Source organism: Homo sapiens, chromosome 11 (assembly GCF_000001405.40).
Source record: "Homo sapiens chromosome 11, GRCh38.p14 Primary Assembly".
Classification (NCBI taxonomy): domain Eukaryota; kingdom Metazoa; phylum Chordata; class Mammalia; order Primates; family Hominidae; genus Homo; species Homo sapiens.
Genome location: NC_000011.10, coordinates 17,300,592 through 17,314,025, shown reverse-complemented (window position 1 = coordinate 17,314,025; position 13,434 = coordinate 17,300,592). Strand labels below are relative to the sequence as shown.

General features: G+C 38.5%; 1 protein-coding gene across 53 annotated transcripts in view; it reads right to left on the bottom strand.

Annotated features, from left to right (window-relative positions):
- The window catches only part of NUCB2 (nucleobindin 2), a 73,242-nt gene that overhangs the window by 35,955 nt on the left and 23,853 nt on the right, over window positions 1-13,434 (bottom strand). For all 53 annotated transcript variants that reach the window (XM_024448553.2, XM_024448538.2, XM_024448540.2 and 50 more), the window contains 6 exons: window positions 12,156-12,282; window positions 4,351-4,454; window positions 3,016-3,201; window positions 2,743-2,833; window positions 2,096-2,154; window positions 1,906-1,998 (listed from right to left, as the gene is read on the bottom strand). In XM_024448553.2, coding sequence (XP_024304321.1) covers window positions 1,906-1,998; window positions 2,096-2,154; window positions 2,743-2,833; window positions 3,016-3,201; window positions 4,351-4,454; window positions 12,156-12,282 — 660 coding nt within the window. The remainder of the gene's footprint in view (window positions 1-1,905; window positions 1,999-2,095; window positions 2,155-2,742; window positions 2,834-3,015; window positions 3,202-4,350; window positions 4,455-12,155; window positions 12,283-13,434) is intronic.

Genomic DNA, 13,434 nt, shown 5'->3' with positions numbered 1-13,434 from the left:
ATGTGAGTTAAACACAAGGAGAACTGTCAAGCAGATACAACCCTAGAACTCAGAGAAAGGAGACAGCTGAAGATAAAAATGTTGAACTCACCAGCATACATGCAGATATAGAGCATATATAGAGACATGGGGCTCCACACTATCACTTAAGGAGAGAACGAAGCGAGAAAGGAGAACACGGCCAAGGGATGGGCCCAGGGCAATGCAACATGTAGAACTTGGAAAGAGGAGGAAGAGCCAGCAAAGAAGAGAGAGTGAGGTATGAGGAAACTGAGGAGGGGTGGTTTCCTAAAAGCCAAGTGAAGAAAGCATTTCGAGAAAGAGGGAGGCATCAACTGTATCAGCACAGATTAAGGCGAAAAGGAAAAGTGAAGAATTAACAGGAAGAGGAAGAATAGACAACTCCTTGAAGAGAAACAGAGAAATGAGGCAGTAACCAGAGGTTGTTGTTTTTGTTTTTCAGTACTGAAAAAAGGGTTTGCTTTGGTTTGGTTTTGAGATGGAGTCTTGCTGTGTCACCCAGGCTGGAGTACAGTGGTGTAATCTTGGCTCACTGCAAACTCTGCCGCCTGGGTTCAAGCGATTCTCATGCCTCAGCCTCCCGAGTAGCTGGGATTGTAGGTATGCACTACCACACCCAGCTAATCTTTGTATTTTTAGTAGACACAGGGTTTCACCATGTTTGCCAGGCTGGTCTCGAACTTCTGACCTCAAGAGATCCACCTGCCACGGCCTCCCAAAGTGCTGGGATTATAGGCATGAGCTATCATGCCCAGCCCAAAAAAAAAAGTTTTATACCTGATATGCAGTAGCATCTTTATCTTTTAGAATATTTTAAAGTAGTTACAAATTATTTTATTCATACTAAAGGCATCTAGTATAATAATCTGGATCAAAAATGCAAACTTCAGCCTGGGCAACATAGCAAGACCTTGTGTCTCCAAAAATTAAAAAGTTAGCTGACAGCCTGGGCAACGTAGCAAAGACATGCTGTCTCTTAAAAAAAATAAAAATCGGCCTGGTGCGGCGGCTCATGCCTGTAATCCCAGCCAGCACTTTGGGAGGCCGAAGTGGGTGGATCACTTGAGGTCAGGAGTTTAAGACCAGCCTGGCAAACATGGTGAAACCCCATCTCTACTAAAAATAAAAAAATCAGCCAGGCGTGGTGGTGCATGCCTGTAATCCCAGCTACTCAGGAGGCTGAGGCAAGAGAATCACTTGAACCCGGGAGGCAGAGGTTGCAGCGAGCCAAGATCGCACCACTGCACTCCAGCCTGGGTGACAGAGTGAGACTATGTCTCAAAAACAAACAAAAAAGGCCAGTGGCTCATGCCTGTAATCCCATCTATAATCCCAGCACTTTGGGAGGCCAAGGCGGATGGATCACCTGAGGTCAGGAGTTCAAGACCAGCCTGGCCAACATGCTGAAACCCTGTCTCTACTAAAAATAAAAAAATTAGCTAGGTGTGGTGGTGGGTGCCTATAATCCCTGCTACTCAGGAGGCTGAGGCAGAGAATTGCTTGAATCTGGGAGGCGGAGGTTGCAGTGAGCCGAGGTCGCGCCACTGCACTCCAACTTGGATGACAGAGTGAGACTCCGTCTCAAAAAAAAAAAAAAAATATTAGGTAGGCATGGTGGCTCCAGCTTGTGGTCCCTCCTCAGTCTCAGGAGGCTGAGACCAAAGGATTGCTTGAGCCCAGGAGGTTGAGGCTGCAGGGAGCCATGATTGCACCACTGCCTCCAGCCTGGGCAACAGAGTAAGACCCTGTCTCAAAAAAAAAACAAAAACAAAAACGCAAACTCCATTTAAATACAAATTCTGTATATTTTCCATCTTAAAGATTTATTGCAAGAATTAAATAATACATAGAAATAACATATTATCTTAAACTTTTAAAACATACCTCATTCATTACATGTTCCCTCATTCTAAGCCTTTCTTCTTCCATTTCTACCATATCATCCTCTTCATTTTTAGGGTCATATACTTTCTCCAACTAAAAAGAAAAATTTTAAATGAACATGAAAGGAAAGAAAGTAACAGGAAAAAAAGAGAGAGAACAAGAACACTGAATACTTAATAAACTCCTTTACCTCTTTAGTAAATAGGGCTTCTAATTCTTGTTCATCCAGGAATCCATCACTATTGACATCTAAAGTTTAAAAGTTACAAATGCAAAAATAGATTTTAATAACTTAGAAAATAATTAAAATACAATGATTTATAAAGGGTTTACAAAAGTAGTACTGATGTGAAGCATCAATAGACTGCAGAAAAGCATTTATTCTTTGTCATGAAGCTTTAGATCAGCTGAACTGATAAATATGCTGTATTTATTTGTAATTCATAATCATTTGTAAGGAAAGCGTATCTTGACCATTTTTTTCCAAAAATATAAAGTAAAGCAATATTCTATGAGAGTAGAAGTAAAATGTAATATTATAGTATAAAGCCTATTAGATATAACCTAGCTAGTCACAGTTTAGTTTTCACTTAACAGAGAACTTTGCAGTAATTCATATGACTCAACAGTAAAAGCCAGTATAAAGACAGAGCTACTAATCTAAAACATTTTATACTGCAGGTGAGCAATAAAGACTATCATATTACCCTAGAAAAACTCTAACCATTTACTCTCACTAGAACTCAATAGCAGACCTTGGCAGAAATCAATTAAGAGGAAAGCAAATACTTTTTCAAGCAGCAGATATAAATATTAATATTTGTATCAAATCGTTACCATGTAATTTGAAAAATGTCTTGGGGTCAAAGTCATTAGGATCCAATCCATCAGTCTCTTCCCATACCTCTTTTAGTTGATCTTTGCTTCCCTGTGAACCAATTTTAAAAAATTGCTCAAAACAAAATATAATCTATCTGTACAGACTCAAAATATAAATTTGAGGAACTTGGCAGAAGAATCAAGATTTAAGTACTAATAACACAATAAAAATCCGCTGATACGAAGAAGTATCTTTATCTAAAAATGGTTTCATAAAGTCACAATCCTTACTGGGTGATTAACTTTAGGGTGATTTTCATGCTTTTTCTTCATTTCTTCAAATTTAGACTCTTCTTCTTTTCTCTTTTCTTCATTCAATGTTTTTAAATATTCTCTCCTTTCATGTTCCTTCATCATTTCATATTTTTTAAATTCTTCATGACGAGTCTTGTCATAGTGTTCCAGATCACTTGTTGCCTGAAATGCAATAATGCATTTAAGTTAAATAAAAACATTCACTTGAAAAATGTAAATAAAGCCATTCTTGAATATAGCATACTCTTGAACAGAAGTGGTACGGGAGGGCAAAAACATACTGGACTCCTCTTTTTAAATTCTACCATTTCATTTTAGTCAAGTTTTTTCTTCTTTTTTTTTGAGACGGAGTTTCACCCGTCACCCAGGCTGGAGTGCAGTGGCACGATTTCGGCTCACTGCCACCTCCACCTCTTGGTTCAAGCGATTATCCCACCTCAGCCTCCTGAGGCCTCTCGAGTAGCTGGGATTACAGGCGCTCACCACCACTCCCGGCTAATATTTGTATTTTAAGTACAGACAGGGTTTCACCATGTTGGCCAGGCTGGTCTTGAACTGCTGACCTTGGGTGATCCACCCTCCTTGGCCTCCCAAAGTGCTGGGATTACAGGCATGAGCCACCATGCCCAGCAATTTTAGTCATCATTATTACCAGAGAGTATTCAAAGAAACTAAAAGTTCAAAGCTAGCCCCAACTTTAGGAAACTCCTCATAAGCAAGTAATATGTAAGTTGATTTAAAAAAAAAAAAGAAGAAGAAAGGAACTATTATCAAATCTAGACAGTACAGAAAACTAAAATGGCTTCTAACCATTTAACTAATCTAATACCTGCCAGGTTAGAACTAGTTCCATTCACACATAATGTGAGAGGTCCACAAACTCTTATCTGGAATCTCTGAGGCCAGATGTGCTCAGAATTTTCTACCTTAAAGAAAGGGAATATGGTACATATGCCATATTATGGAATATCCCTGTAGCATCTGTAATCAAACAGACTAGTATTTCTTAAGCAAAATCTATAAATATTCACACTAAGTAGGTTAAATAAAAACTGTAAATGGTTTTACTATAATTGGTTCATTCAGGCCAGGTTTCAGTTTTTACAGCTTTTGGATTTAGGAATTGTGGATAAGGGATTTTAGACCTGTATGTACATATTAATATCTGTATTAATAAGGGTTAAGCTACCTTCCTTTAAAGAACTTCTACAGAATATATAAAAGTTATATTTCCATTTCATTGGGTTTACTTGTCAAATTACAAAACCTCAAAGGCACAATAAAGACAAAACTTTTTGGAATTATTCTCACCGCTTTGATTAGCATATCTAAATCTGTGGATTCAAACTTGTCAGGATTCAGGTGGTTTAGGTGATCAAATTGTTTTAGAAGAGCTTGGTGGTCCATGCCTATATCTGAAAGAAAATAAGAAAACTGTAAATGATCAATTTCTAGAAGCTAGAAACATAATAATTATACACAAGAAAAAGATTTCATATTTATTCCTATAGGATTTTATAAGGAAATCCAAAGTTTTAGAATAAAGGCTTATATTTACTTTATGAATACTGCGTATGTTATTCTAGTTAAAGGTAGTGTCCTTGAACCTAGAGTGGAATGCAATTTAACATGTATATTTTTAAAAATTCTCTCTCATTTTTTTTTTGAGACATGGTCCTGCTCTGTCACCCAAGCTGGAGAGCAATGGTGCAATCATGGATCACTGCATCCTTGACCTCCTGGGCTCAAGCAATCCTCCCACCTCAGCTTCCTAAGTAGCTAGGACAACAGGTGTGCACCACTACGCCTGGCTAATTTCTTTTTTTTTAATTTTTGGTAGAGACAGGGTCTCACTATATTGCCCAGGCTGGTCTTGAATTTCTGGCCTCAAGTGATCCTCCCAACTCAGCCTCTCAAAGTGCTGGGGTTACAGGCATGAGCCACCATGCCTGGCCTTATGCATATTTTAATGTTATATCTTAAATAACTAGTTGACTATCAGCACAATAACAAACCCTTTTTAATTATCTTAAAACTACTAAATATCCTGCTTTTAATAAATCTCTAATATAGTATCCTTATCAAAGGTTTAAGTAGAATTTCTAAAAATAATTGCTCTAAAGCTTACATGAAAGAATTCCTTGTATATTGCTCCAATGGATCACTTATGAAACAATAAAAATCTAATTTAGGTAAATTTCCTTTTAATTATGAAGTATTTTTAAGGAAATATCAATTTTTTTAACGTTTAAAAAACAAGTTACAATTTACTATAGTGAAATGGGTGAAGTGATGCTGGATTGTTTCAGTTGTATTACATAGTGGACACATGTAATGGATACACAGTGGATATACATACAAGACAGCTCACCAGAAACAACGCAATACGAGCCCTTCTAGAATTGAGCAAAATGGGTACATTGTTGAAGTTGTTGGAAATCAGCTCTCATTTAGGAAGAAGGAATATACAAATATGGAAGGGTGAAAGGCAAGAAAGAAATTGCTAGAGATGAATGGGAATTAGCACTATCTGTGTGAACTCAGCATTTCTAAAATATGTACATTTAACATGTATATGCATGTTTCACATGTATATGAATATGTATGTGTTTATATATGTGTCTATGTGTATAGACATGCATATTTCCTAGCTCCATGCAATTAAGGTGCCAAGAAAATACACTCCAGTAGCAAGGAGCGTACCTAGTGCCAGCTCTTGATCTAAAATATAGTTGCCCCTTAAGAAAAACCAGTGCTCCTCAGAGAAATGGCTCATTCCAGAGCTGGGGCAAGGTAGGTACAAGTTGATCCTGGAACATATTGTTATGCCAGAAAGTGAAGAACTGCTAAATCTGGTTCAACCAAGTTTTCACTGAATTCTAAGTATGGCACTGTACTAGCAGTTCTATTTATGAAGAAAATACTTGTTTTAAGACTTAGCCCTAAAAAAAATGACCAGACAGTGAAATATATAAAAAGACCCTTAACCTCACTCAAAATAAGAGAAATACATATTAAAACTGCACTGCTATACTATCTAACAGAATGGAAAACTCCTAAAGTTTGATGACACATGCCATTAGTAAGCCTGTGAGGAATTATTGCTGGCGGGTATGTGTATTGATACAACCTCTATGGAGGCAAATGTGGCAATATCTATCAAAATTACAAATATATATATATAATTTGATTTGGCAATTCCACTGTGGGGAAATTATCCTAAAGATAATCTTACAGGGATACACAGTGACATATGCACAGATAGTTCACTAGAAATAACCTAAATGTCAATTGACACGGGCCTGGCTAAATAAATTATAGTATATCCATATAATGGAGTTCTATGCAGCTGTAAAAAAACAAAAAATAAAAAGAGAGATGGTCTCTATGTACTAATACAGAAAGATATTCAAAATATATTATTAATTGAAAAACAATGCACAAAAATGTGTATTTCCTTTTGCATAAAAAGAAAGGGACAATAAAAAAATTGTATTTGTATTTGCTTATATATAAAGAAACTCAAGAGTCAGGCACAGTGGCTCATGCCTATAATCCCAGCACTTTGGGAGGCTGAGGCAGGAGGACCACTTGAAGCCAGGAATAGGAGTACAAGACCAGCCTGGACAACATAGCAAAACGTCATCTCAATTATTTAACTTAAAAATAAACAAATAGATAAACCCAAGGAGGATGGTGTTAGGGGACATTGGGAACTGACAGGATACAAAAATATCAGGTAGATTTTTGCTCTACATTTTCTACATTTGAACCACGTGAATGGGCCAGGCACAGTGGCTCATGCCTGTAAACCCAGCACTTTGGGAGCCTGAGGCAGTTGGATCGCTTGAGCTCAGGAGTTCAAGACCAGCCTGGGCAACACAGCCAGACTCCATTTCAATAAAAAGAATAAAAACTGCCTACTTTAAAAATTACCCCCCTCCCTAAAATTAAGACTGTTTAAGCCCTTCCTCAAATTATCAGATATTTCAATTCATACTGAACCAATGAGAAAACAATATTCCTTAGTTTAAAAGTTACATCAGACTGTTTTCTTTTCTTTTTTTTTTTTTTTGAGACGGAGTCTCACTCTGTCACCCAGGCTGGGGCACAGTGGCATGATCTCGGCTCACTGCAACCTCCGCCTCCTGTGTTCAAGCGATTCTCCTTCTTCAGCCTCCCAAGTAGCTAGCAGCACATGCCACCACATCTGGCTATTTTTTTGTATTTTTAGTAGAGACAGGGTTTTGCCATGTTGGCCAGGCTGGTCTCGAACTCCTGACCTCAGGTGATCCACCCACCTCGGCCTCCCAAAGTGCTGGGATTACAGGTGTGAGCCACCACGCCCAGCCTACACTGTTTTCTTTATGCAATGAAATTCAGTACCCATCTTGGAATGAAGAGGATACTGTTAAGACTGAGGGGATGGAAGTTGTCCCAGGGAGAGAAATCTCCACACATCTTAGGCCTGGCTTTAAGTATGGAATTACCTTGCATGCCTGACTACCCCAAGTAGCATGGCATGACTCAATTTACTTCTCATTGATATCCTTAATTTCAGGATGATGAGTATTTGGTATTTGTTTTCTAAGACTATATGTTTAAAATGTAGATTATTATACTCTTTCCCAGAGTCAGAATCTCTGGAGGTGAGATCTAGTAATCTACATTTCTAACAAGATTTCTAGGAGATTCTCATGCAATCTGAAGTTTTAGAACCACTATTCCAAGAGTTAAATGTTCAGATGTTTATTAATGACAACAAACCACCCAGATAACCAACCTATGGGAGGCTATCACAAGGACACATGAACCAGCTTGAAAGATCTTCCACTGGCTAAATCTACTCTTTGATTTTGACTCATAATTAGAAAGTTCATTCCAAGATAATACAGGAAATTCACCTGTGCTGTCACATAGTACTTTTATGATTTTATTTTCTACATTTAAATCTTTAATTCATTTACAATTATTCTGATAAAGGATATAAGAGATGTGGTTTTAACTATACCTTTGTCCAAATGGCTAGCAAGTTATACCAACACTACTTAATTAAAAATGTGTTGGGTGTGGTGGCATACACCTATAATCCCTGCACTTTAGGAGGCCAAGGCAGAAGGATCATTTGAGGCCAGGAGTTCCCTCAAACCAGCCTGGGGAACACAGTGAGATTTTCTCTCTCCAAAAAAAAAAGAAAATTAGCCAGGCATGGTGGCACACTCCTGTAGTCCTAGCTACTCAGGAGGCTGAAGTGTGAGAATCTCTTGAGCCCAGGAGTCTGAGGCTGCAATGAGCTATGATTGCATCACTGTACTCCAACCTGGGCAACAGAGTGAGACCTGTCTAAAAAAAAAAATTAATAATAATAAAAATAAAAACCTATCTTTATCCCACTAATAATGAGATATCACCTTTATATTAAACTAAATTATGTTGTGTGTTTAACTCTACTTCTGGAATGTCTGTTGTGTTTCACTGGTCTTTCCACTTTTTGCCTAAGCCATACAGTTTTAATGACTGAGGCTTAGTGACATAATTTAATATTCAATATTAAAGATTTAATAGATATTAAAGATTCAATTTCTAATATCTAGTCCTTTATTGTTCTTTTTCAGAGGTATCTAAGTTTTCTTACTTGTGTTCTTTTTCTTTTCTTTTTTTTTGAGACACAGTCTCACTCTGTCACCCAGGCTGGAGTGCAATAGTGTGATCTCAGCTCACTGCAACCTCTGCCTCCCAGGTTCAAGTGATTCTCCTGCCTCAGCCTCCTGTGTAGCTGGGATTACAGGCATGTGCTACCATGCCCAGCTAATTTTTGTATTTTTAGTAGAGACAGGGTTTTGCCATGTTGGCGAAACTGGTCTTGAACTCCTGACCTCAGGTGATCCGCCCGCCTTAGCTTCCCCAAGTGCTGGGATTACAGGCGTGAGCCACCATGCCTGGCCTACTCGTGTCCTTTTTCATATGCACTTTGAAAAATTCACTTGGCTGGTGCCAGAAAAATAAAAGTATATATTTTTATTTGGATTATGTTTAAATTATATATTAATCTAGAGAAAACTGACATGTTTATAACACTGAGCCTTTGTATCAAAAAGTTATTGTGTCTTCCCACTTATTCAAGTCTACTTTTGCATCCTTCATGAGTATTTTAAAGTTTTTGTCTGTCAGTTTTGCACATTTCTGAGTAGGTTTATTCTGGACATTTTATCTTTGTTGCTATTGTAAATGGAGTCCTTTTCTTCCATTCTGTCTTCTAACTGGCTGTTACGTACATATGGAAAATATTGATTTCTACGGATTAAGTTTACCATAATTTTCCTATTGAGGGGCTCAATTTTCCTGTTGTTTATAGTAATTTTTTCCATTAATTATTTTGGGTGTTCCACATATATATAAACATCATATCATCTGTGAAAAAAGATGGTTTTATCACCTCCTTTCCAATTACTTTACCTCCAAATTTTTTTTATTTGTATGAATGTTTTGGCTAGATCAGGCACGGTGGCTAATGCCTGTAATCCCAGCATTTTGGGAGGCCAAGGCAGGTGGATCACCTGAGGTCAGGAGTTCGAGACCAGCCTGACCAACATGGTGAAACACTGTCTCCACTGAAAATTAAAAATTAGCCGGGAGTGGTGGCAGGCACCTGTAATCCCAATGACTCAGGAGGCTGAGGCAGGAGAATCCCTTGAACACAGGAGGCGGAGGTTGCAGTGAGCTGAAACTGCACCACTGCATGCTCTAGCATGGGTGACTCAGTGAGACTCGGTCTCAAAAAAAAAAAAATTAAAATTAAAAATTTAAAAATTAAAAATAAATAAATGTTTTGGCTTGTACCTCCAAAGCGATGTTATTTAGTGGTGGTTACAGTGGGCAACACTGTCTTGTTTCTAATTTCAGTCAGGATACATACTTGTGCTTCCCCACTAAGTATGATGTAACTGAGTTGGATATAGCTTATCGTGTTACAGAATTTATCTATTAATTAGTATTTTATTACTTTAAATTATGAATTGGTGTTCAATTTTGTCAAATGGATTTTCTGCATACATGGAGAAAGCCATATGACTTATAACTTTTCTTTTTTTTTTTTTTTTTTGAGATGGAGTCTCGCTCTGTCGCCCAGGCTGGAGTGAGGTGACGTGATCTCAGTTCACTGCAACCTCTGCCTCCTGGGCTCAAGCGATTCTCCTGCCTCAGCCTTCTAAGTAGCTGGGATTACAGGCATGTGCCACCACACCCAGCTGATTTTTGTATATTTAGTAGAGATGAGGTTTCACCATGTTGGCCAGGCTGGTCTCAATCTCCTGACCTCAGGTGACCCACTCGCCTCGGCCTCCCAAAGTGCTGGGATTACAGGCGTGAGCCATCATGCCCAGCAAGATAACTTTAAGATATCCTTGCATTTCGGAAATTCTATTACATAGCTATTTAATCTTCTCATAGCCTAAAATTAAAAGAATAAGGATTCTAATATTTATTCCAATTTATCATTTGTCCTTTGACTTTATGACTTTTTTTTGATACATCAAAATTTTAAAGATTTTTTTCTCCTTAGGACTATTTATATGATGATTTATAATATTAGATTTCCTAATATTAAGTCCATCTTATATTCCTGAAATAAATCCAACTGTCATGAGATAGTATTCTTTGGAGACATAATAATTTTGATTTTGGCATCAATATATGGCAAGAATGTGGAAGCTTTCCTTCTTTTTCTATGCTCTGGAATAGATTAAATAGAATTGACAATCTGCTCTTTAATGGTTTGATAGAATCACTCAAATCATTAAAGAGTAGACAGATAGTATCCCTTTATGAAACTTATTCTTATGCATATGTAATCCTAGCAACTCAGGATTACTTGAGGCCAGAAGTTTGAGACCAGCCTGGGCAACACAGCAAGACCATATCTCTAAAAAACGTAATTAAAAAAACAACTAGGCCGGGTGCGGTGGCTCACGCCTGTAATCCCAGCACTTTGGGAGGCCGAGGCGGGTGGATCACGAGGTCAGGAGACTGAGACCATCCTGGCTAACATGGTGAAACCCCGTCTCTACTAAAAATACAAAAAATTAGCTGGGTGTGGTAGTGGGCGCCTGTAGTCCCAGCTACTGGGAGGCTGAGGCAGGAGAATGGTGTGAACCCGGGAGGCAGAGCTTGCAGTGAGCCAAGATCACGCCACTGCACTCCAGCCTGGGCGACAGAGCGAGACTCCATCTCAGAAAAAAAAAAAAAAAAATTAGCAGGGCATGGTGGTGCATGCCTGCACTCCTAGCTACTTGGGAGGCTGAGGTGGGAGGACTACCTGAGCCCTAGGAGTTCAAGGCTGCAGTGAGCTATGACCATGCCACTGCACTCCAGCCTAGGTGACAGAGGAAGATCTCGTCTCCTAAAAGATTTTCTTTAAAAAAAAGAAAGAAAAGAAATGGTCTGGATCTTGTGTTTTTTTCTGGGGCTAGATCTCTGAAAAATTTTCTATTCCATGTATGAAAATTCTTCTGATTAGATATTCTTTCTCTGCTTCCTTTTGGTTTCCTTTAATATTATTTTTCCTTCTTTAAACCAGTTGTTTAATTGATTACTTTTCATTCTTCCTTTTCATTGCTATAATTATGGCTTATTATACTGATTTTTGAATGATATAAAATGTATTATCTATTTAAAACATTAAATTCTAAAAATTAAGAGAAGCCAAATCAATACTAACATAAAATTTTGACTAGAAGAACATAGATGGCACGTACTAATATAAACTGACCTCAACAACCAAATGTTAAAATTTTCTAGCCAGGCCCGCCAGCTCATGCCTGTAATCCCAGCTCTTTGGTCAAGATAGGAAGATTGCTTGAGCCCAGGAGTTCAAGACCAGCTTGGGCAACACAGCAAAACCCTGTCTAACTAACAAAAAAAATTAGCCAGGCATGGTGGCACACACCTGTGGTCTCAGCTACTCAGGAGGTTGAGATGGGAGGATCACTTGAGCCCAGGTGGTCAAGGCTGTAGTGAACTGTGATTGTGCCACTGCACTCCAGCCTGAACCACAGGGTAAAACGCTGTTTCAAAAGGAAAAAAGAAAAAAAAAATCCTACCTTTTGTTTAGCACTTACCTTGAAGGGAATCCAACTTAGCTTTAATTAACATTCTTAACCTTCCTACTTCTTGCCTTTTCAGTTCATCAAGTTTTGTCCTCACATGGTGACTTACTAAATCCAGTTCTTTGCTTAGCCTCCCACTCTGTTAACAAAATTAGTAAGTTAGTTTTATCTATTACATTCCATTTTTAGACAAATGCAACAGCTTAAAAACAGGGTTACAATACATTAGTGATAAATACTTTTGACTAATTTAGATAAATTTAATATTATAAAAAGAATTTCTTTCAAAAGATATTAGCTTTAGGGCCGGGCGTGGTGGCTCACGCCTGTAATCCCAGCACTTTGGGAGGCTGAGGTGGGTAATCACCTGAGGTCAGGAGCTCGAGACCAGCCTGGCCAACCTGGCGAAATACCGTCTCTACTAAAAATACAAAAATTAGCTGGGCATGGTGACACACGCCTGTCAATCCTAGCTACCTGGGAGGCTGGGGCAGAAGAATCACTTGAACCCAGGAGGCAGAGGTTGCAGTGAGCCAAGATTGCACCACTGCACTCCAGCCTGGACGACAAGAGCGAGACTCTGTCTCAAAAAAAAAAAAAAAAAAAAAAAGGCCAGGCGCGGTGGCTCACGCCTGTAATCCCAGCACTTTGGGAGACCAAGGCGGGCAGATCACTTGAGGTCAGGAGTTCGAGACCAGCCCGGCCAACATGGTGAAACCCCATCTTTACTGAAAACACAAAAATTAGCCAGGTGTGGTGGCCCATGCCTGTAATCTCAGCTACTCGGGAGGCTGAGGCAGGAGAATTGCTTGAACCCAGGAGGCGGAGGTTGCAGTGCGCCAAGATCATGCCATTGCACTCCAGCCTGGGCAACAAGAGTGAAACTCCGTCTCAAAAAAAAAAAAAAAAAAAAAAGATTAGCTTTAACTCTAAAATCAAGGTGTCTGAAAAACCATGTAATTTAGAAAAGCATCATTAAAGCACAAAGCAGAAACTCAAAAGGTTAAATTGTAAAATGGTGTAGCCACTTCAGAAAACAGTTTGGCAGTTCCTCAGAAAGTTAAACATAGGGTTACCATGACCCAACAATTCCATTCCTAGATATATAACTAAAAGAACAGAAAACATGTTAACACAATAACTTAAACATAATATCCATAGCTGCATATTCATACTCGCCAAAAAACCAGAAACCTAAACGTCCATCAACTAATGAACGGATAAACAAAATATAGTATACCAATACAATGGCATATTGTTTGGCCATAAAAAAGTATAAAATGCTGACACA